General features: G+C 43.8%; 1 protein-coding gene across 1 annotated transcript in view; it reads right to left on the minus strand.

Moving 5' to 3' along the window:
- The window catches only part of TLL2 (tolloid like 2), a 149,319-nt gene that overhangs the window by 43,796 nt on the left and 79,129 nt on the right, over window positions 1-26,394 (minus strand). Inside the window, exons 4-9 of the mRNA NM_012465.4 lie at window positions 24,404-24,559; window positions 20,228-20,345; window positions 14,146-14,324; window positions 12,553-12,658; window positions 4,789-4,913; window positions 1,956-2,071 (exon numbers count right to left, since the gene is read on the minus strand). Of these exons, the coding sequence (NP_036597.1) occupies window positions 1,956-2,071; window positions 4,789-4,913; window positions 12,553-12,658; window positions 14,146-14,324; window positions 20,228-20,345; window positions 24,404-24,559 (800 nt within the window). The remainder of the gene's footprint in view (window positions 1-1,955; window positions 2,072-4,788; window positions 4,914-12,552; window positions 12,659-14,145; window positions 14,325-20,227; window positions 20,346-24,403; window positions 24,560-26,394) is intronic.

The following is a 26,394-nucleotide window of genomic DNA, read 5'->3' on the forward strand; positions in this document are numbered from 1 at the left end:
AATTGGTGCAGAAATTTCAATGATGTATATTCTCTCTGTCCCCAGTTAGCACTAATAATTAAGGCTTGATGAAGTTTACACAGTTCAAACATATCACACACCCTCTGCTGTGCAGAGCAATTCAATAATTTAGAAATTACCAGACCTCTTCCTCTTCCCCCTTTCTGCCTCCCTCCTGTTAGCCTCCAGCAGGCACATGGATTTCACATCTACCCAAGGCAGACAGGTCTGGGATCTCAGATACAAGATGACAGCCATACTTAATGTCTTAAATGCTTAGAGCCAAAGGAAGGATGTATACATGTGTGCCCACACATGTGCATTCATGTATGTATATAAATGCACGTTAAAATGTCTATCTACTAGCCTGGCCCCTTTGTGTAATAATATAAGATGACAGTCAAGCATTCAGGCTGTCAGAGTCCAATTGCCTGGGTTCAAATCCCAACTCTGCAACAAACTTAGAAGCCTTGGGCAAGTCCAATTCCTTACCTGTAAATAAGTATGGCAACAGCACCTATTTCACAAAGTTGATGAGAGGACTAAATTAGATGATCCACATGATATGCTAAGGATAGTATCCAGTCTACAGAAAATGCTCACAATGGTTCCTAGTCATTTGTCTCTAGTTAGCACACTATGCTTAACTTGACATTTAGATGGACATTTTAAAAAGTTATAAATTAGAAATACCTGAAGGTTGGCTACAGGTGCCTGAAAAATTCCATCACACCCCACTGCCACCCCTAGCTGCAGGTTTTTCACTCAGCCCCTCATCCATCCACATATCCATTCAACAAATACTTGTCAGGTGACCATTCTGTGCCACAGACTGTGTGGAGTGCTGGGGCCCTGGGGCTGAATGATCTCCAACCTTAATGAGCTTAAGATTTAGAAGGGGGTCAAATAAACCAGTAGTGACTATACCGTGAGACATGCTATAACAGGTATAATTATAGAGAGCTCTGGGGACACTGGGGGTATCCCCTAACCTAGACCTAGGGAACAGGGTTTCTCTAAGATAGTTGCATCTAGTCTGAGGCAACTTGAAGAACACTCAGATTTGTAGAGACATGTAGCAAAAAGATAAGCTTTGGAGAGCAAAACCTCAGTTCTCAGTTTCTAGTTCTATATCTTACCTTGACTTTTGGCACTTTCCTTAATGTTCAAGCCTCAAATTCCTTATCCAGATAATGGATATAACAGTACGTGCCCTGCAGTAGGGTTGAAAACATACCACCCTTGGACCAGAGTGAAAGAGATCCTTGCCCTGGGCTCAGCTCTAGGGGGTCACGGAATCTTCAAGACTAAAGGGATGTGTCCACCCAGAGCTTGCCCAGGTCCTACGCCACACTCCAGGAATCCAGGAATTCCCTGTCCACACAGCTCTGAGCCCATTGCCAGGACATGCAAGGGCCTCTGCCCTGGATCCATCTTCTTGAGTATAGACTGCATGCCTGGCCAGTCCATCCCGCTGGAGGGGCAGCCAAGGAGTGGCTGTTTGCAAAAGAGGAGTGTAAGATGCTTAGGGAAGTGGGCTGGGGTGTCAACAGGGATGTTCTTTAAGCCCCAAATGCTGAGACGGAGGCTGGGGGGAAGAATAGCCAGCTGTGGGCTGGCTCCCCGTGTCACCATCTTCCAGAGCAGCAATCCGAGGTGTCACAGAATTCTAAATTCTAGGATATTATAATAGTGTATTTGTTAAGGTTGGAAGGAACTGTGAGCTTGATTTATAACTCAGCAGATATTTAGTACATGCCAGCCTTCATTTGTGTGGGTGAGACTGGTTGAGAAGTCCAGAAATAATGAACGTACAGCAAACAGCACCATGCCTGGCATACAGTGGGTGCTTATAACCGAACAGCTGTTATTTTTACTATTAACAATAAGAACTCCTCCCACCTCACCCAACTCAAGGAGTGCCGTCCCATTTGCCAAGGGGGCTTCCCACCTACCTTTTCCCCTGGGGTGACCGAGATCCTCCAGACGCAGTGGGAGTAAGATGGGTACCCATTTGGGAAACCAGGTGCAGAAAAGTTTCCCGTTGTGTCCTGCAGGGTCTCCCCACACGCTGCACAAGCAAAATCACAACTGTGATGTGGCATATGCACCTCTCCCCGCCCAAGCAGCTCCCGCACGGGGCAGCGGAGCAAACATACCCCTTTGCCAGCCAAAGCCCTCGGAACAGGTTGGTGAGAAGTGTAGCAAGCAGATTGATGTTTTCTGGCTAACAAAAGCACAAGTAGGACCTAGGAGTCAAAAAGGAACGCCCAGGAATTTCTTCTGAGGCTCTCAGGACTGAGCATGGCCTAGAGGTCATGAATCTTAGCTCTCTGGCCAGCTGTGTGGCTTGGGCAAGTTTCCTAGACTTGCTGGACCTTAGTTTTCTTATCTGTAAGATGGGCAGGACCTACCTGAGAGGGTTAGTGAAATCGTGTGCATTACATGAAATGGATCAGCTCAGTGCTTGGCACGTAGTGAGTGCTTCATATATAATGCCATTATTATTGCTAATAATAATATCGGTGGCAGAGAGAACATGAAAATGCAAGTAGAGGCCAGGCGTGGTGGCTCACGCCTGTAATCTCAGCACTTTGGGAGGCCAAGGCGGGTGGGTCATTTGAGGTCAGGAGTTCGAGACCAGCCTGGCCAACATGGGGAAACCCCATCTCTACTAAAAATACAAAAATTAGCTGGGTGGTAGTGGCGTGCACCTGTAATCCCAGCTACTTGGGAGGCTGAGGCAGAAGAATCGCTTGAGCCTGGGAGGCTGGGAGGTGGAGAGTGCAGTGAGCCAAGATTGCACTACTGCACTCCAGTCTCCAGTCTGGGTGACAGAGTGAGACTCTGTCTCAAAAAAAAAAAAAAAAAAAAAAAAAAAAAAAAAAAAAGTGGAAGTAGGTAAGACAAAAAGAAAAAAATGCTTTGAAACTTATTTCAGCTGTTAGTTTAAATCTTTCCTCTTCCTTTTCTGCTACTCACTTCTGAAAGAACTATAAAGCAGTCAAGAAAACAAAAAAATGCAGAGGCACAGGGAGCTGGAATCTTCTATAGCAGGCTATTCTGCCCTTGAATGTTTGAGGGTTGGTTATGAGTCTAGAACCTAGTCTTTATGTATGTGAAAAGTATTTCCCCTAATTTGTCCTCACAAATGAAGGGTACCTGTATGAATCCTTGGAAACTACAGGTTTTGTATTTCTCTAATGCCTGGGGATTCAGACTCCAAAGACAAAGACACTGGTTTGCTGAGAGCCCCTCCTCTTATGTGGCCAACCCTAACATGTGGAGATCCAGCATCCTTAGGCATCTTTTCCTTACATGCAGTTCAACCTCTGCATGGCGACTGACTGAGCTTTCAGTTACTGCTCGGAACTACTGGAAGCTCCACATTTTTTGGAGCTGCAGGAAGGGATATGTGGAGAACTGCCCATTATCGGCCTCAGGAAATCCTGGATGTCGGGGCTTCAATATCACATTACTGAACAACTGCCAGGCATCATGAGGATTATGCCTGGCAGTCAACACCCCCAAGGGTTCCATGGAAATTATTTTAGAATAATCATCAACATTCTGCAAGAACAGATACATTACTATGTGGCTCCACAGTATTTTGCTTTGAATCCTTTTGGGAAGTGAGCAGCATAAATGTTATAACTGAATAAATATGATGGCATTTCCCAGGGTATGCTATAAGGTTTCCCGTTCAATTCAGCAAGGTTATATGATATGTGTGTCCTGTATTTCAGCCCTAACACGCCCCCAGATGACTAATAGCTGGACGGACATATTTTCTAAAGTTTCTTGAGGAAGCAAGCCCCACGCAGCCCTTTGCATCCCTCGGGTCCTGCTTAGTAAGGTAATGTGACAGCCCAGATTTTCTAAGACGGTCCTCACTTCAAATACTTCATCCCATGATCAAACTCTGTGTCTGGTTTGGAAGTCTGGGAAAGGCTATTGGTAATGGAACTTCCTTCTATCCTCCTAAAACCACTGAAATGGATTCTGATCCATCAGTACTAAAAACTCAGCTGCCCTAACCAGTGCTTTACATTGAGGCTCAAGAGCTGAAAGGGGTCTAGAAGAGCTCAGACGGTGTGTGTATGATGATGATGCTGAAGCCAAGGGGATGGAAGACAAACGGGACAAATCCAAGGGGAAGGAACACTTCCAAACGGGCCAGGGAACAGGCATTTGCTCCAATCCCAGTATTGTCCCATCTTCAATGGCAGACTCCTGGCCACTGACCAGCACCTAGGATGGCCAGGAAAGCCCCAAGACCAAAGCAACAAGCTCATTAATAGCACTGAGACTCCCTCCACCTTGTAGCATTTGGGAAACTGACTTCCATCCTCCCAAAAGCATTCTCCCTCACTCTTTGTCTTCCTGCAAAATCCAGCTTGGTTCTTGTTTTCCCAAACCCACATCCCCTAGTCCCAGAGAAAGGAGAGGTGCTCTTACTGTTATGGGGCACACACTGCATTACACCCCTATTTACTGTTGTTCTGTTATGCCTTCTTCCCCTTCTGGACACAAAGGCTTTGCCAGAGAAGTCTGAAGCCTCTCATGAAATTGCCAATGGACTCTAAGACCTATTATTCTCTTCACTGCCTGCCACCATGTCACCATTTCACCTTTCTATACTGCCTAGCACCTCCTACCAGAAGGACACCAGAAATTAAAGCTGCCAAGGAATAGTCCCTTTAGGTCCCCCAAGTTGTTTTCCCAGCATAGGGACTGTGCTTTGGAGATGCTAGGGAGGTGCTGGCAGTCCCCACGGCTCATAGTTACCTGGGCATTTGTACAGCTTCCGGGCTTGAGCTATGTCTCCCTGACTGAGCCGCACGCGCTGGCCAATGGTTGGCCTGACGCCATTGTCATCTTGACGGGGAAGGATGGTGTCTAAGAAAACTCCTCTACAGGAAGGAAAAAAGACAGAAAAAGAAAAGTCAAGGCCATCAGGCTGTCTGTGCTGGGATTTCTAGGCTTCATTCCCTTGCCCATAACCCCATCAACATTCCTGCCCCCTGGCCAGCCTCTCCCAGGCTGGCATGACTGAAGAGGTTTCCTTCGCTCATGCTAGCATTTTCACATTCCATCTCATCAGCTGCCTACTCGCTTTCCAGTGGGAAGATGACTCTGCCAAGTGTAAAAATATGCCCTAGTGCGGTAGCCCAGGGGCTTCCTTAGGGATGTGTCCTGAGCATTTTCATGAAGCCCTGACAGGTCCAGACCCCGGAGAGACCACGGTGTGAATGGCGCCCCCTGCAGCTGTGCATTGGGAAGTACTGTGTGTAGTTAAGTCCTGGAGCCACCCCAGGGAGAGCTTGGGAACTGGTCCAATGTGAGACTCTCAGGGGCTGGTCAGCAAGTGCAGGTTGATGAATTGGTGGTCCCAGTTTGGAGGCCCTGCTGGTAAGAGGGAAATCAGATGGAAAATGAGATAAATGCAGAGAACAAGAAGTAGTGAAAAAAGCCCTGGACTAGAGATTTCTACACTAGGCCTGTGTGTGCTTGGACAAGACCCTTCCCCTCTCTGAGCCTCTCTAAGTCTCAGTTTACCCCACTAAACAATAAGAAATTTGTTGAGATGGTCATGGCAGCCCCTTCTATCTCTAACATCTTATTCTACTCCTATTTGACTGAAATCTAAAATGACAGCTTCATTTCTAAACTAGACAAGTGGAAATCAGGTTGCCAGCTGAGCGCTGGCCCTGTTGTGGGCATGGTTTACATCCCGCCTGCTGCCTTGTCTGCTGCCAGCTCTGAGCCTCCTCTTCTGCTTCCAGACCCTCTATCTGGGGCCTCTCCTGGATGTTAGGCCTCTCCTTGAATCAGCATCTCCTCCAGTCACCACCTTGTTTTTTTCCTTCCCTTCTTAACCAAGTTTCTATAAAGTATTGTCTCCATTCCCCAACTGCTCACCTCTGATTCACTTCTCAATCCACCTGTGATCTGACCCCATCAGCAACGGTCACCACTCATCTGCCAGTAGACAGCTTCCAATCTCCGTCTGCCCTCTCTCCAGCACTGACCTCCGATGCCCTCCTCCCTCCTCACTGTCTTCTCCCTGGGTCCAGGCCATGGCTCTCTCTGAGCAGTGAGACAAGAACCACTTCTGCTTCCCCTTCAGTGATGCCCCTTGGGTTTCTGCCCTCTCCCTCTGTCCTCTCTCTCCATATTCCATCTGCTCCTACGGCTTTTAACCATCATCTGCAGCCTCACAGCTAATCCTCTGTTTCCAGCCCAGGATCCTCTGCTGAGCCCCAGATGCCTCGTAACACCTCCCCTGGGCTGTCCTATGGGCCTCTTATATCCAACGTGCTCAAAACCAAATTTATCACAATTCCATCCTTCTCCTGCTCACTCCATGATCCTTGTCTCCTGAGCCTGAATCTGAGGGCATTCTCAGCTCCTCCCTCTCCCTCATACTCTCCTACCAAACCAGGAGCCAGGTCCTGTCCACTCTACCTTTTTTGCACCCCTTGAACCCATACCCTCCTCCTTGTTCCCAGACCATTGCCATAGCTCAAGTGATCAACACCCCATTCTTGAACTCTTTCCAGTAGCTTCTTAACTGGCCTCCCTCCCTGTAGACTCAGCCACTTCTACTCTACTGCTCCCCTTGGCCACAATGCTGCAATGGAATCATCCCAGAATGCAAGGGGAGGCACGTGCCTTTTTTGCTTAGAACGCTTCACCAACTTCCAGTCACCACTTGGATCTCTAGGCTGTTTGCTCACTGACTTCTGCCTTCCTCTCCAGCCTGACTCTTTAATCCCATAACCAAAAGAATACTTAACAAGAATAAAGCATATGTCATTATTTTAAGCAACACTGAGCTCCTTGTAGGCCTCAAATATGCCCTTGCACATGCTATCCGCTCCCTAGGCTGCCCATGCCCTCTGTTTTTTTGTCTGTTTGCAAACTCCTATTCATTCTCCAAAACCCCATCAGATGTCTTTCTCTATTAAAAGTCTTCCCCAAGCCTTTTCTACTCCTCCCATCTGGAGTTTATCATTCCCTGCTCTGGGTCTTAATCATTTGTGTAGTCTCTTCTTATCATACTGTATTGTTTTTCTTAAGGAGTGATGGTATTTGTCTTCTTTGCTAAAAGTAAGTTCCTCAAGCAGGGAGACTGGGTGTTTTATCTCTGTCCTTAGAAACTACAGCACAGCAGACCTCAAAAAATGCTTCTTGAATTAAATATGCAATCAGGATAAAGCACTGTCTTTTAAAAACTTTGCAAAATAGTTATTTACATCCAAAATGGAAGTGAAAATGTACATATGTCACCTAGCTATTAGCTGTGCATGCTCTCTCTCTCTGTCTCTCTCTGTCTCTCTCTCTCTCTCTCTCTCTCTCTGTCTCTCTCAAGCACTGTTTCTATTTCCCTAAATTCTGCACTACATTAGAAAATACCTATTACCCCTGGTTCTTCCTGGTTACATCACTTTGTTATCTTTTTGTTTTTGTGCAGACTTTTTTTTTCTAAATCAGATTTCAAGCTCACTTTCCAACCTTAGCCTGTGGGAGTATAGATCATCTGCTGATTTCCTGTTCAGCATCTCTGTACCCAACATGTAACCCTTGACCTGTCTTTCTCTAGCTCCCATAGCCTCATTTTTGAGTCTGGACTCCTGCAGAGAAACTTTAGTGGAATCCTTGGCCTCCCTCACTGACTTTACCACATTTTAAACCACAAGTGATGACTCTGCAGAAAATCCTAAATTCAATCATTAGCTACTCCAAAAACAGGCACTTCTGCCCTAACGAAAGGTGTGTCCTTTTGTAATTATTTTCTTGGTTCCCTTGCAGAAAGGAATTCTGCAGCACAAGCATAAGGATCACACAGTCTATAAGCACCCCACGCTACCTGGCCACATCACGTAGATGACTTTGCCAGCGGGCCTGGGGCATAGAGGCCATGTTCTTGCACTTACTCATCATTCATAGGACTTTCCGATGTGCCAGGCCCTGCACTGGGCACTTTCCTTGCACCAACTCATTTCATCTTCATAACACCCTAGGAGTCAGGTGCCATTATCACAAGAGCTCTCACTCTACAGGGGAGAAGACTGAGCCTGCAGAGCTTAAGTGACTTTCCCAGGGCACAGAGGTAGTCATGGAGAGGCAGGCCAGGAGCTCACCTCTGGGAATCCTCCTCCTTCCAGCCAGTGTTTCCTGCTGCCCAAGGAACAGTAGGCCTTATGATACATTAAATTATAGAGCTAAGAACATTGCAGACTTCAAAAACCAAAACATCAGGAACAACATTGGCTCACACTCAGACCGCTCTTTGGTGCTGGACGTCCTCCCTTGCGTATCCTAAGCTGCCAGCAAGAGCTTCCAGCTGTTTACTACAAGAGCCGTCCCCTGTGTAAACCACAGCGGTGACGTTCCTTCCCTCTTTCATGTAGGACAACTCTTAGCATTGACATTCTGCTAAACTAAGACAGAGTTCAGCAGATGCCTCAGGGAATAAAACTGTCAGTTCTGAGTTCTGAAACAAAGAGGCCCCTGTACAAGAGAACTGTCTCCTCATCTCCTGGATCTTTGCCCAGCAAAACCTCCAAAGAGACCGCTCCCCACAGCCTGGGTCCAACCAAGGGGGAGGGGAGAAGAACTGCAATAAACTAGAGAGAATGAAGTTGGAAGGAGACAGCTCAATCGTAAAGAGACACAAGGATTGAGTTTCCCATCAGCAGGGTATAGCATTTGCCCACCTCCCCAGATCAGCATATGTTCCATGGGCTCTATTCTGCCCTTTTACAGAATCCAACATGAGGTACAGGCCAGCTTTAGGGTCTTTGTGACCAGAAGTAATGACATGGAGTTGGGAGCGGGGAAACTATTGACAAAATGCTCATAGAAAAGCTCCCAGTAAAAACCCAGTGAACAAAATTGTTTTCCGAAAATCCAGGTAAAAAGTTGGCAGAAAGGACAATGCAGTCATCCACCTGCAACAAAACAGATTTGCTGAAACCATTCTGAACTCTGGGGCAGAGGTGACAAGGCAGCAGTGGCAGATTGTTAAAATAAAAAGTCACTCCTCCTAATAGCCAAATCCTACTGCAATGTGAAGCTTCCATACCTCCCAGTAAGAGGTGGAGTCTATTTCTCCACTTGCTTGAGTTTGGGGCTGGCCTTGTGGCTTGCTTTGACCAACAGAATGTGGCAGAAGTGATGTCATGCAAGTTCCAGAGCTGGGGCCTTAAGAGGCTTGCAGCTTCCCCGCTTGCTCTCTTGGAACTGTGAGTCCCCATGCAGTGTAAAGCCTGGTCTAGCCTACTGGAGGATGAGACGCCACATGAAGGAGAACCAAGGGGCTCCCAGAGAGAACAGAGGGGCATGAACAGGCAGCACCAAGTGCCAGGCGTGTGACTGGTCATTCTGGACTCCCCAGCCCAATCAATCTGTCAGATGACTGTTGCTGTGAGTGATCCCAGGAAAGACCAGAGAAGAACAAGCCTGACTAACTAACCCACAGTATCATCAAAAATAATAAGCTGCTGTTTTAAGTCACTAAGCTTGGGGGTCAATTGCTCTGCAGCAGTAGCTAATGTAACACTAGCAGGAGGGGCTGCCTGCCCTCGGCGAGCTGCTCTGCTCCTAGCTGCCCATCCTCCTGTGTGCTGCCCCTGCTGATCTCCCTCCTAGAGATTCTGGGGAATTTTGATGAGGAATTTTTATTTCATGGGTTTGGCCCATGGATTTCCACTGGTCTGGGCTGATGGTTCACATTGACAATAGCATTAGAAATGGTTATCCCCTGAGGGACAAAAGGCATGGTATTATGAGCTAGCAATCCTAGAAAAAAAAATACATATATATATTTCAAAAAGAAAGACAAGAAGAAACGCTGGTGCTGGAAGATCCTCTGCCTGCATCCTGTCCTGGCCTCTGGCTCCAGAGCTTGTGCAGTGCCTGGCACGGAGCAGGCGGTGAGAAGGCAGTGCAGTCCCTACAGCACACAAATGCCCTACATGGTACAGACTTACAGATTCACCTTACTAAAGTAGCCATCGCATTGGTGAGCACATGGAAAGAACTGTAATGAGCATAATGGAAATTTCTACCCTCACCTATTCCCCAACATTGCAGGTCCTCCTGGCCCCTTTGAACTCATTCATTAATTTATTCATTTAGCAAATGTCTATTGAATACCTACTAGGTGCCAGGCACTATGTTGGGTGCTGGGGACTAGAAGAGAATGAGATAGTCTCTGTCCTCAAGGATCTCAGTCTACTGCCAGAGAAGGGAATACAACAGATACATATGAATGTATATGAATATATATATGAATATATATGTATATATAAATATATAAATTAATATATGAATTTATAAAATAATAATTATTAATAGCTAAATTAAATGAATATTGATTTCATTTGAATATATAAATTATATGAATATATAAATTGAATATATAAATTAATATGAATATATAAATTAATAATTATTAATAGATAAATTAAAAAGCAATATGAAGAGTTATGGCAGCTACAGAAACAAGACCCAAGGAAAAAGCTTCTCCCTTGGGCCAACTTGACATAGATTCCCTGACAAAATTGATACTTGGTCTCTAGTAGCAGCCTGTAACTCCTGGATGATGGGGTGGGCCTTTGGCTATTCCCTGCACCATTTCCCAAACAGGTGAATCAGCCCACCCCAAGACCCAAGCATTGCCTCCCCCTTGGATATTTGCACACTGCACTGGCGTCCTGAGATTCCCTGCACACAGCCTCAGGGTGGATCCCTCAATGTCTCAGTTTCCTAATCTGGAAGAGGAGGCCCTTCCAGCTTCAGATTTCCTGTATGGCAGTGAATGAGATCATAATCTGTCAACCCCTCACCCATCTGCATCGGATTGAGAAATTGCAACTTGAAAGGTTAGAGCTGGAAGGGGCTCAGAGAACATCTAGTCCAACCCTCTCACAAGGAAACCAAGGCCTGTGGAGGTGGAGATTTAACCATCACACAGCTGCCCCTAATTACTGTCTGCCTCCCTCAAAGGCAAGGGGTCACAGGAGAACTATGACTAGAACCCGGCTTCTGCCTCTCAGTTCAGTGGTCTCTTCATCACACCATGTTTCTTTTACTATCTTTGGAAAAGAGCCAGGAGAAGGTCAAAGAGGCCAGGAAGGCTCAATTTCACGCTACTCCCAAGTGCTGTCGAAGATGCCAGCTTTAACACAACTCCACCCATGATAGCTCATGTCTAGGTGCAGGATAGAGATCATGACTTAAGCAGCTGTGTGGCCAGAGGAGCAGTACCCCCTGAGAACTTGGGATGCTGAGATTTAGAGGATTTCTCCCATAGTCCTATCAACAAACTCATCAACAGGATGCTTTTGGCAGCCTTACCCAAGAACCAAGGAGCCCCTGGCAAACAGTGTCCCTTTCACTCCCAAGAGCCATATGTTTTCTGAGCAAATGAATTCCTTTCATCTTTATGGACATGGAGACTCATGGAATGGATTATTTCCCTCTTTGCTGTGACTGCTAGGAAGCACAGGGCAGGATTTGCTGCCAACTCTAACCAAGTGTACATGACCTCACAGCATATAACTCTGAGCACTAAACTTATTCTGGGCCTCAACTTAGCTTTCTAGCCATATTTTTCCTTCTCCTTTCCCCCAGTTTTCTCACCTATTATTTATCATTTTTATCTCATGTGTATATTGGAAGTCACCACAGATCCTTTTGGGGGAAGACTAAATAAATAAACAAGCAAACAGCTGGTTTTAACAGGAGACTGAAGAGAAAGTACCAAGAGAGAAAATATTTGTTCTCTGTGACTCCTTTAACTCAACGCTAGAAAGAACTACAAAACTGGGACAAGTAGGGAAAAACTTCTGCACACAAAGCACTTACAGGGTCTAGAAGCAGGGAAAATACTGAAAATCTTTAATGTCTGCTAGGCGCAGCACATCAGAACAGCTCATCAGAACAGACCCTGCCCATGCCAGCCATAAATAAACGGCCCAGCCCTACTTGAATACAGCGGCTTCCATCATCTGTGACCTGCAGGTGGGAACCTGGATCCTTGCTCTCACTCCAGTCCTCAGCTACCTGTCCATCTGAGAGCTGGCTGGAGCCTCATTGTCTTCACCTCTAAAATGAATCGATGATTTACAGCCCTCCCAGCCTTGACACAGCCTAGTTTCCAATAAACCAAACCTCTGCTAGGAGAATTGGTGAGCACCACCATGCTTCTACAAAAGACTCCCCCCACCCACTGGAAATTTGACACAGAGCCTCTAAGTTATTATCCCAGCCAACCTCTCGATAATTTCCCTTTTCCAGTTTGCTGCTTGTGACATTAGGGCATGATGGAATGCTAGCTTCACAATGGGATTCAATCTTATTAACGGGAACCTGATTAGATTATATTTCACTGCAGCGCAGAGGCCACTGTATTTCAAGGACAGACAGGCCAGCCGTGCTAGAAGCATGCAGAGACCCACTCTCCGCAGACCTCCAGGAATCCAACCCAAGCCTGCCGCAGGCACAGTAAAACACAGACGAGGCATAAGCATAGATTCCGACCTTGAGAAGGTGTTCCGGGCGTAGTGCATGATGCTGTCAAAGTCGTATGTCTCTCCCAGAGAGCTCACTTCCCCAGCTTCCATTTTTAAGAAATTATACTCCTGACCTGTGACACAACACTGTGTTAAGCCCTTTGAAAACCAAGTCAGGCACCTGAAAGGAGGCAGAGGAAGGAGAAGGAGGGCCCATAACAACTTCCCAGGGCTCTCTTGGCCCAATCAGTCAAATAACAGGGCTTGTAGTGGTTCTTGTTGTTTTTAATAATTAGAAATTTGAAACCTCCAGCAAGCCCTGTGTTCTCCCAACCCCACCACCCAAGACCTATCCCCAAATGCCACTCAAACCTCTTAAAGTAAGTTTGCAGACAGATTAGTTATCAACTTGCTTGCCCCCGCAAAAAATAAAAAATAAAAATAAAAAACTCTGGGCCAGGTGCCATGGCTCACACCTGTAATTCCAGCACTTTGGGAGGCCAAGGCGGGTGGATCGCCTGAGGTCAGGAGTTCGAGACCAGCCTGGCCAACATGGCGAAACACCGTCTCTACTAAAAATACAAAAATTAGCCGGGCATGGTGGCGGGTGCCTGTAGTCCCTGCTACTTGGGAGGCTGAGGCAGGAGAATGGTGTGAACCCGGGAGACGGAGCTTGCAGTGAGCCAAGATCGCACCACTGCACTCCAGCCTGGGTGACAGAGCAAGACTCTGTCTCAAAAAAAAAAAAAAAGTACAAAAATTAGCTGGGCGTGGTGGTGGGTGCCTGTAATCCCAGCTACTTAGGAGGCTGAGGCAGGAGAATCCCTTGAACCCAGGAGGCGGAGGTTGCAGTGAGCCAAGATCACGCCACTGCACTCCAGCCTGGGCAGCAAGAGTGAGACTCTGTCTCAAAAAACAAACAAAAAAAACAAAACAAACAAACAAAAACCTGATCTTGCAATTTGAAGAAACAAAAGAAAATGAATCAGAGAGTTAAGTTCAATCCTAAATAGCTCACAATTCAGATTCTCTAAAGCATTTGTAAGGCAATCATATTCTTCAACTAGCTACTTTTCATGCTCAATATTAACTTCCATATAAAATTATTTGACATAAGAGAGTATTTTTTTTTAATCTAGACACTTTATCTGCCTTGGGGCAGAATGTTTCTAGGCAGAAACACTGTTTTTACATGTGTTCATGTCCTAATTGTATTTCAGTTTCAGAAAATATGTTGCCTAAGTCAGCAAAAATAACTCATAAAAGCAGCCAGGAGAACTCTTTTTTTTTTTTTTTTGGCTTATCAGCTCTGATGCTGTAACAGTGTTCTGGTCGACTGTGTTCCTTTCAGGAAATGGAGTTAGATTTCAATGTCCTTTAAAACATGGAAAATCATTTTGCTTCTGCTCCAACCTACAAGCTATGGCAGATGACCTCCCAGGAAGCCACAGATGGACAGTGGTCAGACTGGTGAGACGGGCCTGTACAACAGAGTCATTGCTCCATATTCAGCAGTTAGCATTGCTCAGCTCCCAGCAAGTCCCCTCCTTCCCTCCCTCCTGTCCCTGAGGTTGCCACCTTCTCGACCGGTGCCTTCCAGACTCCACACAGGCCTCCTTACCTGGCTGGATGTTTTCCCTGATGATGGTGACATGTTGGTCTCTGTCTGGCCGGGTGTGTTCATGCCAAAACCCAACCACATGGCCCAGCTCGTGAGCCACAATGCCAAACTTGTCACAGTTCTTCCCAATGGATATGGCCTGTGGGCCTCCTCCTCGGCGCCCAACATAGGAGCAACAGCTGGACAATTGCAGGAATACCCAGGTCAGCAGGTCAGAAGACATTCAGAGCAAGAGGCAAGTCCCCCCTCCCACTCTGTATGTGTGTGCGTGTGTGCATGTAAAAGAACAGAATTTCAGGCCGGGTGCAGTGGCTTACGCCTGTAATCCCAGAACTTTGGGAGGCCGAGGTGGGCGGATCACCTGAGGTCAGGAGTTTGAGACCTGCCTGGCCAACATGGTGAAACCCTGTCTCTACTGAAAATATAAAAATTAGCCAGATGTGATGGTGTGTGCCTGTAATCCCAGCTACTTGGGAGGTTGAGGCAGGAGAACTGCTTGAACCCCGGAGGCAGAGGTTGCAGTGAGCCAAGATCACGCCACTGCACTCCAGCCTAGATAACAAGAGTGAAACACCGTCTCAAAAAAAAAAAAAAAAAAGAAAAGAAACAGAATTTCAGAAGTGAAAGTGCTCTCATTGTCCAACTTCCCACCCAATGACCCAATGCAGAAATTCCCTCCAAAAATGGTTCTTGAGCTTTTTGTGGTTATGAATCTTCTTGAAAAGCCAACAAAAGATACGGTCTCTCTCTGACATAAAGTCCATACCATACTCTACCCCTCCACCTGCAAGGTGCTGGAGTCCCTGCTGGGCCATTTTTAATGAAAAGGAGAAGAGTCACGGGAAGGAGGCAGATGAGTGTCTATAATGCATGCAACTTGGTGTCATTATCAGAGGAGCCTTAGAGATGACTCCCTTCTGGGCACAATCATTTTTTTCAAATAATACTTATATACATTTTTGTAATACTAAAATTTATTTCATCAGTCTTCTATTAATGTACATCTCGGCTGTAACTCCAGTTTTTGCTATTTTAACAAGGCCTCGGGGGAGAGGATGACAAGCAAAACAAATAAAAACAACAGCAAATGAAACAAAGAAATGGTAGTGTAAATTTCTACCAATGGGATTCATGGGTAAAAGGATATGTGCATTTGAAATTTTGATAGATACTGTCAAATTGCACTCCCAAAATGTTGTCTGTTTATATACTCACTAGTAAGATATTAAAAGCCCCTTTCTCTTTACCTGAAAGAAAGGAAGTCAGTCTATTGAAGAGATATCCACACTCTCATGTTTGTTGCAGCACTGTTCATGATAGCTAAGATTTGGAAGCAACCTAAGTGTCCATCAGCAGTTGAATGGATAAAGAAAATGTGTACACACAGAAAATATGTACAAGTACACAATGAAGTACTATTCAGCCTAAAAAAGAATGAGATCCTGTCATTTGCAACAACAGGAATGGAACTGGAGATCATTATGTTAAGTGAAATACGCCAGGCACAGAAAGACAAACATCATATGTTCTCACTTATTTGTGGTAGCTAAAAATTAAAACAATTGAACTCATGCAGATAGAGACTAGAAGGATGGTTACTGGAGGCTGGAAGGGTAGTGGGGGACTGGTGGGGAAGGTGGAGATGGTTAATGGGTAAAGAAAAAAAAATGAAAGCATGAATAAGATATACTATTTGACCAAAAAAACAGAGTGACTATAGTCAATAATAAGTCAATTGTACATTTAAAAACAACTAAAAGAGTGTAACTGGATTGTTTGTAAGACAAAGGATAAATGCTTGAGGGGAGGGATACCCCATTCTCCATGATGTGATTATTTCACGTTGCATGCCTGTATCAAAACATCTCGGGTACCCAACAAATATATACACCTACTGTTTACTCACAGAAGCTTAAACAAATGTTTAAGTCCTATTTCCCTCATCCTGGCCAACACTGGTTTTATCAAACTATTTTGCCAATTGGATAGGTAAAAAATGGGATTTCACTGCATTGAGGCTGGATAGTTTTTCACATATTTTAAGCGACATTTTTTTTTCTGTGAATTATGTGATCACCTCTTTTCCCTGTTTTCTTTTGGGTTGTCCATTTTTTTATGATTGATATTTAAGAACCCTTTGTAAATTAGGGAAACTAGTCAAGAGTGTTGCAAGTATTTTGCTCACTTTGTTAGTTCTCATTTGACTTTGTTTTTATGTATTGTTTTGTTTTTTTTGCATTATAAAAGTTTTTAATGTTAGTATTACAAAATGTATTCATTTTCTTATGTGCTGCTTAGAAAGGTCATCCATATTTCAAGATTATAAATAAAATCTACTCTTGTTTCCTTCCTATACTCTTCGATTTTTTCTTTCTTTCTTCCATTTTTTTCTTTAATACTTACATCTTTGATCTAGCTAGAATAGTTATCGGTATAAGAAGTGAGGTAGGAGTCCAGCTTTTTTTTTTTTCACAGAGAGTTATCTAAATTATCCCAATATTCAAATATCCCAATTGACTAATTGATCTTTCTCCCACTCATTTAAAATGTTACCCAAATTTGTGTATAGGTATATTCATTTTGGACCCTTTTTTGTATATATCTATTTTTCCCTTAAGTTCCAAACTGTTTTGTTATTATCTTCCTTTTGCATTTTAATATTCTGCATGTTTGGTTAGACCATTAGATAGCTACCTCTGTCATTACTGTTTTCTCTCTCTCTCTCTCTCTCTCTCTCTCTCTCTCATTATTTCTACATGGTTGTTCCTCCAGATAAACTCTAGTATCATTTGTTCAAGTTCTAAAAATATGTATGCATACATACACATGTACGTATATATCTATAAATGTTGGTGTTTAAATCAGAAAGGCATGAATGTACAGCTTATTTTAGGGAGTTCTGACATCTTTACTATGTTGAGTATCCCTACATCAGGAAGCAATATGCTTTCTATTTTTACTTTTTTTTTTTAGGTTCCTTGGAGTTTTAGCATTTTCTTCCTATAGGTCTGGCACATTTATGTTTAGTCTTAGATATAGTATCTATTATGTTTCTATTAAAGTTGTGATTTTTTCCCATCATAAAAGTGTATCAAACTATTTCATGTATAAAGAAAAGCAGTCACCTATTCTTGTTAATTAATTAATTTTGTGGTCACTTAATAGAGTCTCCTTGTGTTTCTAACAGCTTTTCAATTGATATTCTGGGGTTTCTAGGCACACAGTCACTTTACCTCCCATCAGTGCAAACATTGCCTTGTTCCTGCCAATATTCACAGTTTTTCTTTCTTTCTCTTGTCTAATTTATATTAATTAGCAATTCCAAAACAATGCTAAATAATTGTGGTAACCCTAAACATCTTAAACTTGTTCATGATTTTAACTAAAATTAAATGCTTCTAGAAGTATCATCGATAAACATGATATTGGCTTTTGGTTGGAAGTTATTTATATAAATGTATATTTATACTTACATATATATAATGCAAGAATCTATCCTTGACATCTATTTCTGTGCTACCTTGGTTACTTTTTTAAAACAAAAACTGCATGTTGTATTGTACAGGTGCCTTTTAGCATCTATTGAGATATGAATATAGCTTCTCTTCTTTGACCAATCAATCTTGAGAATAGATTTCCTAATGTTGAACTAATCTTGTATTCCCTAGATAAATGTATTTGGCAGTCTCCTCTTCTTTTCTTCTGCTGCCGAATTCTATGTGCTAACATTTTATTTAGGATTTTGCATGGCTATTCACATGTGAGATGAGTCTATAATTTTTTCTTTCTTATCTTTTTTATCATGTTTTCCTTTCTTTCTCTATTTATTTGGTGCCATCCTTTTCATTTCAAGGTAGCAATGCCATAACAGTTCCTCAAAAGTAATTTGAAAGCGTTCATCTTTCTCTATGCTCTAAAAAGTTTAAGTATACCAGAATAATCTGTTTTTGAAGTTTTGAAAGAATTCACCTGTGAAACTCTGGGTCTGGTGCTTTGTGGGAGATGGCTTTTTCCCTCCGTTCTTCAATTTCATTCAAAGTTCTTGGTCTGTACCAGTACTTTATTTTTACCTTGAAGACTTTCACATTATCCACATTTTCACACTTCTTGCCCTAGAGTTTTGCAAACTACTCCTTTGTGATTCTGCTGAATCTGTGGCTATTTCTCCCATTTTCATTTCTAATCTTATGTATTTCTATGTAATCATATTTTGTCTCAATTAAACTAACAAGTGGTTTATCTGTTGTTTTCTGTTTGTTTGTTTATTCAAATAATTTACTCTTGAATTTGTTAGCTCTGTAATGTTTCACCTTGTCTGTTTCCTTGTGCTCTCCTTAGGTTTATTTTGTTGTGGTGATGGTGGTGGGTTGTAAGTATTTATTTTTACTAGCTTCTTTGAATTGAATATTTCATTGTCACTATTGTCAACGGGTGATGTGGATACTTAAGTCTGTGGGCTTTTGTCCAGACATAGCTTTAGCTATATCTCTTTTATTTTGAACCATAGGGCTTTCATTACCTAGACATTCTGCAATTTTAATCTTGCTGTTTTTATGACCTAAGAGCCATAAAAATGGAAGCATGGGGGGACTTTTAACTTACCAGCTAATGTTTATTCTATTTTTGTTATTATGTTATGTCCAGTTTCACTGCTTTGCAATCAGAAAATATCTTAATGCTATTTCTGCCTTTAAGAATTTGTTAAGATGTTCTTAATGCTTAATAGATGGGCCATTTAAAAAAATGTGTTATGAGGTTATAGAATCTGATAGACCTATAGAATCAACTCTATTAACTGTATTTTTCAAATCCTCTGTGAATCTCTACTTATTTTTTGGTCAACGTGACACTGACTTACTTGGGCTGACAGAAATGAATTAAGTCTCGTGCTACTGAGCATTTCTGTCAATTTCCCCTTGAATTCCCTGGGGCTTGTTTTATGACTCTTGATGCTATGCTATTTGGTGCATGAAGACTTATGACAGTTATATTCTCACTGTCCCTTATACCCTTTCTCATTATAAAGTGTCTCAGCTTTTAACATTTTCTGACTTTAAAAACAAAAACAACAAAACAATGAAAACCTAGTCAATGACTAAAATTGTGATCCCAGCTTTCTTTTTGTTAGCATTTACCTGTATGGCTTCTTTCCTTTTACTTTTAAACCTCTCTAGGTTGTTTTATTCAGTAATCATCTTATGTATAGACCATGTAGTTGGGTTTGGTTTTTTTTGTTGTTGTTGTTTTGTTTTGTTTTCTTTCTGAGATGCAGTTTTGCTCTTGTTGCCCAGGCTGGAGTGCAATGGCGGGATCTCGGCTCACTGCAATCTCTGCCTCCCAGCTCCAAGCGATTCTCCTGTCTCAGCCTCCCAGGTAGCTGGGATTACAGGCATGTGCCACCACACCTGGCTAATTTTGTATTTTTAGTAGAGATGGGGTTTCACCATTGTTGGTCAGGCTGGTCTGGAACTCCCGACCTAAGGTGATCTGCCCACCTCAGCCTCCCAAACTGCTGGGATTACAGGCGTGACTCACCGCTCCTGGCCGGGTTTGGGTTTTTGATCCAACATGAGAAGCTTTTCAGTAGGAAAGTATATCATACATATTTATTGACATAACAGATAACTTTAGTCATAAGCCAGTCATTTTATTACATATTATGTTTTCTGAAGGAAGTTTGTAAACCTGTAGAATCCCTCAAATTAAATGCAAAATTTTACATACATATTCATCTATTCTTGAAGAAGGAAAGCCCACCGCTTCATCAGATTCTAAATGGGGACACAAACCCCAAGAGGTTAAGAACCACTGCCTTAAGTCTTCACATGACACACCACCAGTTCCTTCTGTTGCTCTTCTAGTGCCAGTACCCCTGGTCTTCATGGAGTCTCCTGGAATCTTCCTCTTGGCCCATCAGCTTTGCCACTGGATTGTAATTTCACCAAGGGCAGAAAGTTTCTAGCAAACCCTGGACTCCTCTAAATAACAGCTCATTGGAAATACTTAGGTTTACAGAGAAAATTCAACACTCATGAGCCATCCGACTGATTCTGCAGAGGTGGCCTCGCTTTCGTTTACTTACCCACAGGTTCTGTAACTGAATACAATAAAGCTTTCCTCATCCGTCCTTTCTATGAAGGTCACACAGGTGTGCTTCTCCCAGTGTCTCATGGCCTGCTTAAAAATGGCCCTCTGGCTCCCTGAAACAACAGGGCAAGCACTCGACTTCAATGATGGGTCCATATTTTCTTTAGATGCTTTTTTTTTTCTTTCAAGACGGAGTTTTGCCTTTGTTGCCCAGGCTGGAGTGCAATAGTGCGATCTCGGCTCACTGCAACTTCTGCCTCCTGGGTTCAAGCGATTCTCCTGCCTCAGCCTCCCCAGTAGCTGAAATTATAGGCATGTGCCACCACGCCCGGCTAATTTTGTATTTTTAGTAGAGATGGGGTTTCTCCATGTTGGTCAGGCTAGTCTTGACTCCTGACCTCAGGTGATCCGCCAGCCTCAGCCTCCCAAAGTGCTGGGATTACATGCATGAGCCACGGCACCCAGCCTCCTTAGATGCTTTAAAGCATGCTGAGTTAAGACAAAGGATGTTCCAACAATTAAAAAAAAAGATTGTTAATAATACTGTATTGTTTACTTGAAATTTGATAAAAGAACAGATTTTGTGTCCTCACCAGCCCCCAATGTAAGCATGGGTGGTGATGGATGTGCTAATTAATTTGATTATGGTGATCGAGACATAATATATCAAATCTTCATGTTGTATACCTTGAATATATACAATTTTTATTTGTCAATTAAATATTTTCAAAAAAAAAAAAAGCTTGTTCAGAATAGAAATACTCCAGGAATTTTCAGGAATCAGGATTTCCCTTGCTAAAAACACAACGTAACTTTTCTGAGCTGCCAAAACCTAGAGAGTAGGAGTTTGTGGATTGGAAGGGAGGGTAAAAATAGATTTTCAAAATATCCTGGGCTTCCCAAATTTTCCTTTGTATTGAAAGTATTTTCCAAACTTTTACAAAACCTTATCCAGGTTTTTCGATTTGGAAACTGCAGGCTTTTGAAGTAGGGGGGAGTCAACTCCAGCTCACCAGCACTGCACTTCGCCCCCTCATTTTCTTTTAGACCTGTAGGGGGGTGCTCCCATGCACTTTAAAATTTCTATTTGCATGTACATCTGTGTACTTTTGCACGGGGTTTCAGTGTCTTGTGGGGAATCCTTGAGCCTAATTTTTCTTCCAGGCCTTTGAAAATAGGTGAACTTCATACTTTCTCTGAACCTGTCTTGGTATTTCCTTGAGTGGAAATTTGCTGAATAATAAAACTCCAGGCTGACAGTTACGTATAGTCAGTCAGTTCTTTTCAAAATCTAGAAGGAAGACTGTTTAAATTTTCCTAGAAGCAATGAGAAGGATCTAGGAAAAAATAGTTGTCTGGGAAGTATGAAGGATGGTGGGAGTTGGAGGTCTGAGTTCTACAGGGCCCTCATTGCAAAACAAAAACAAAAATTACAAGCAAAACAAAACAGCTGACATCACTTGGATGTTTGTCCCCTTCAGATCTCGTTTTGAAACATAATCCCAGTGTTGGAGGTGGGCCTGGTGGGAGGTGTTTGGGTCATGGGGATGGGTCCCTCAAGAAGGGCTTAGTGCCATCCCCTTGGTGAATGAGCTCTCGCTCTGAGTTCATGAGAGATTTGGTTGTTTAAAAGTGTGTGGTACCTACCCCACCTCTCTCTTGCTCCCTCCCACCATGTGATGTTCTGGCTTCCTGTTGCCTTCCGCCATGATTGCAAGCTTCCTGAGGCCTCACCAGGAGCAGATATGCTGCCACCATGCTTCTCAGACAGCCTACAGAGCCGTGAGCCAAAACAAACTTCTTTTCCTTAGAAACTACCCAGCCTCAGGTATTCCTTTAGAGCAACACAAATGGACTAGCACAACAGCACTGGGGGAGGCTCCCATCATTGTCTGCAGGATGTGGGGATGGTATCATATTGTTGTCCCCAAAAACATTCATATAGAATAAAGAATAACAGCTGGGCATGGTGATTCATGTCTGTAATCCCAGCACTTTGGAAGGCCAAGGCAGGTGGATCCCTTAAGCTCAGGAGTTTGAGACCAGCCTGGGCAACATGGTGAAACCCTGTCTCTACAAACACTTAAGAAGAAAAAATTAGCTGGGCTTGGTGGCACACGCCTGTAGTCTCAGCTACTCAGGAGGCTGAAGTGGGAGGATCGCTTGAGCCTGGAAGGTTGAGGCTGCAGTGAGACGTGATCATGCCACTGCACTGCAGCCTGGGCAACAGAGTAAGACCCTGTCTCAAAAAAATAAAAGAAAGAAAGAAGAAACAAACAACAACAACAAAAAATAGAATAACTTAACTGTCCATTTTTTTTCTGACATCTTGACATTTTTTGTTCAAATTGTTTATAGCTCAATCGCTCACCAAAAATAGCAACCCTACTAATTATCTAATAACATGAAATACTTGTGTCAACAAAATTCCTATATATAAAATTAGTTAACTTTGATGAAAGTAATATAAATCTTTGGTCAGAAAAGCACACCAGATCTGAAAGAACACAGTTAGGATACCAAGGAACAAAAGTCTGTAGTGGTTTATAATTTCTATTTTTTTTCTTTAGGCACTCACCTTTCTCTGCTGTGAGAACAGACCTCCTTGAAGGCAGGATGAAATCTTAGTCATCTTTTTTACCACCAATCCCTAATTAAGCACCTGGCACTAGGAAGCCGTGGGTTAATGCTGCGGGAGCGAAAGGGAACTGCAGGAATTCCGCTGCCCTGCTGCTGAGGTCTTCACCGTTCCCTAACTTACTCATCAGCGATTCTCAGTGGCTTTGGCAAATCCTCAGGGAATCTGCCTTCATCAGCCACCTCTCAGAGTAGAGGTCACAGAGCCACAGGGAGGGGAAGGACTTATAAGTTGCACTGAGAGCCCAGGAAAGTCTCTCGGTATGGCTTGTCACTCAGGCTTTCCATTGACATTGGCCGCAGGTACGCAGTGGGCATATTTGCTACCTGCCTAGGATGTGCCGCGCCCTGCTCTAGGTGTTGGAGATACGGAAGCAGAAATGAGACAGAAAAAAGACTGCTGCTCCCACAGAGCTTAGACAGAGACAAAAATAAATGAAACAGAAATAGAAGTAAAGAGTTCAGGTCACGGTAAGTGCTGCCAATGTTATAAAGCAGGGTCTGGGGACAGGGAGGCGCTGGTGGGGGGAGGGCAGAAGGCCTTCCTGTGATGTGTCCCTTGACATAAGACTCAAATGATAAGAAGAAGACAGCCATGCAAAGACCTGGGGAAAGGGCCTCCAAGGGAGACAGAAGGCAAGTTCAAGTGTGAGTGCTCAGGGGCCTATGAGGGGGGCACGTCTTGGGATGGGCACATGGCTGGTGAGGCCAGAGCTTAGGGATGAAGGATGGGAGAAGGGTAGAGAGGGTCAAAGGCCAGGCAGGAGAGGGACAGTGGGGTACTTGAGGGAGGGCATTACAGGCCCATGGTCAGGAATTTCATTCTAGTGGCAATGGGAAGCTGGGGATGATTCACATATTTTAAAGATAATATTAATATCAGATACATACTAATTACTGTGTGCCAGGCACCACTCTAAGCGCTTTATCTATAGTAACCCATTTGATTCTCAAAACAACCAGATGGGGTAGAAGATATTATCATCCCCATTTACAGAAGAGGGAACTGAGGCACAGAGAGGCTAATTTCCCCAGGGCATTTTGCTGGCAAGTGCTGGAGCTGAGATTTGGACCCAGGGAGTCGAGCCATGTCCACTGGTCCCTTTGGTCACTGAGTGGAACACTGCTTGTAGGTGGTGGCAGGGGACCTCTGAGTCCAGGACGCTCATCCAGGCAGAGGACAGGGAAGCCAACCATGTGCAGTTGCTCAGGGACTTTCTTCTATGCGGAGGGCTTGTCCTCAAACAGTCATCATGCAAACCCCACTTATCCGTCAAGGTCCTTCCAGGTCACTCCCCACATGAAGCATCGGGGAGCAAGGTAACCAACTTTGAGGACATAGCTCCAACAGAGACTGCAATTTCCCCAGGACTGGTGGGCCAGGACTTGCCGGCAAGAGGGGGGCATCATCTGTAGGCCTGCTGTGGTCCCTAACATCTGCTCCATCCCACCCGGGTCCTTCCTAGAAGGACTCTCTCAACCCAGGGAGACAAAGCACCCTGACCCAAAGCAGACCTTGTCTGTGGCTACTGACCAGTGAAGTTCCCTCCAATGACGTAGGGGATGACTCCTCCAGGCCATATCCTCTCTGTCCTTGAGGTTGTGGCTCTTCGGACCCGGGGAGAGAAGGTCTTGGCTGCGGCATGCAAGGTCCCAGGGCTGTGCAGGAGTGTGGTATTCTCCCGGCCATCTGCAACACAGTCAGGTTAATATTGATTTTGCCCTTTGGTTCCTCCTGTGAATTATGGCTGAGGTTGTATTATCCACAATTCCAAAAAGGGGGTGTTAAAACATGTTCCAAAGGGGCTATTTCATCAGTTCAGGGTTTGGAAGCCCTGGGTGGCAGTTTTCCAGATGGGGTAAGAGTACATGTAGTAAATGTACCGGGCTATGATGGGAGTGGGTTTGGCTTGTCTGAGGCCTTGAGAGAGGTCACATGGGGCCACAGAATCAAATGGGCAGGGATACCTCACAGCTCTTTGGGTGGGGCTGAGGTTGGGGTGCACTTTCTGCTCAGAGTCACAAGCATTTGGGGAACAAACTGGGTCAATCTCTTGCCTTGATCCAATATGGTCAGTGTTGCATATTTTGAAATAATTTGGCCAGTACAACAAGGAGAGTGAACCTGTCTGTGAAACTGGAAAAATTATTTATAAGAAAAACCGTGGGAAAAGCAGACCCTCATAAAACCCCCAACTCTTGGCATCTGTACCCTTAAGACAGGAGTGTGGCAAACACAAGGAGGTTCGATGGAAGGTTCTGAGTCCACGCGTTGGGCCTCCCACAATGGCAGAGGTAGGTAGGTGGAATAGAACGCTGAAATCCATGGACACCAGTCACTGAATCCGCATGCATTTCATTCACCAGTCAGATAATTTAAAATTTTGTTTTCAGTTGGCTTGCTTAGAATCCCTCATTATTCTAACTTGGAGCATTTTCACTCTAGTTTTTATACTTTTTCCCCTAAAAATCAGGTTTTGTTTTTGCAGACTCTTTTCTTTGTTTTTGTTTGTTTGTTTGTTTATTGAGACAGAGTCTCACTCTATCACCCAGGTTGCAGTGGCGCAATCTCGGCTCACTGCAACTTCCACCTCCCGGGTTCAAGCGATTCTCCTGCTTCAGCCTCCCGAGTAGTTGGTATAACAGGCGGAAGCCATCATGCCTGGCTAATTTTTGTATTTTACTAGAGATGGGGTTTCATCATGTTGACCAGGCTGGTCTCGAACTCCTGACCTCAAGTGATCCACCCGCCTAGGCCTCCCAAAGTGCTGGGATTACAGGTGTAAGCCACCGTGCCTGGCCAATTCTTTTCACTTTTCTTTATTACATTAATGTTATTTACTTTATTACTTCCTTCTATTTTCACTTGTTTTATCCTGACATTTCCTTCCTAGCTTCTTTTCTCTCTTATTTAAAAAAATTGAGATAGAATTCACACACCCTATTTAGCCTTTTAAAGTATACCATTCAGTGGCTTTTAGTATTTTCACAAAGTTGTGAAACCATCACCATTATCTAATTCTACAGTATTTTCATCATTCCAAAGAGAAACTTTGTACTCATTAACAGTCACTCCCCATCTCTCCCTTTCCCGAGACCTTGGCAACCAGTAATCAACTTTGTTTCTATGAATTTGCCTATTCTGGACATTTCCTAGAGATGGAATCACACCACATGTGGCCTTTTGTGTCTGGCTTCTTTCACTTGGCATGTTTTCAAGGATCACTCATGTTGTAGTATGAATCAGTTCTTCATTTTATGGCTGAGTAGTATTCCATTGTATGCACATACCACATTTTGTTTATCTGTTCTTCAGTGGGTGGACATTTAGGTTATTTCCACTTTTTGGCTGTTAGGAATAACGCTTCTATGAACATTCATATACACATTTTTGTGGACATAGTTTTTTCATTTCTCTTGGGTACATGCCTGGGGTGGAATTGCTGGGTCATATGGTAACTCTATGTTGAACCTTTTGAGAAACTACCAGACTGTTTTTCAAAACAGTGGCACCATTTTACATTC

The sequence above is a fragment of the Homo sapiens genome, chromosome 10 (assembly GCF_000001405.40).
Source record: "Homo sapiens chromosome 10, GRCh38.p14 Primary Assembly".
Taxonomy (NCBI): Eukaryota; Metazoa; Chordata; class Mammalia; order Primates; family Hominidae; genus Homo; species Homo sapiens.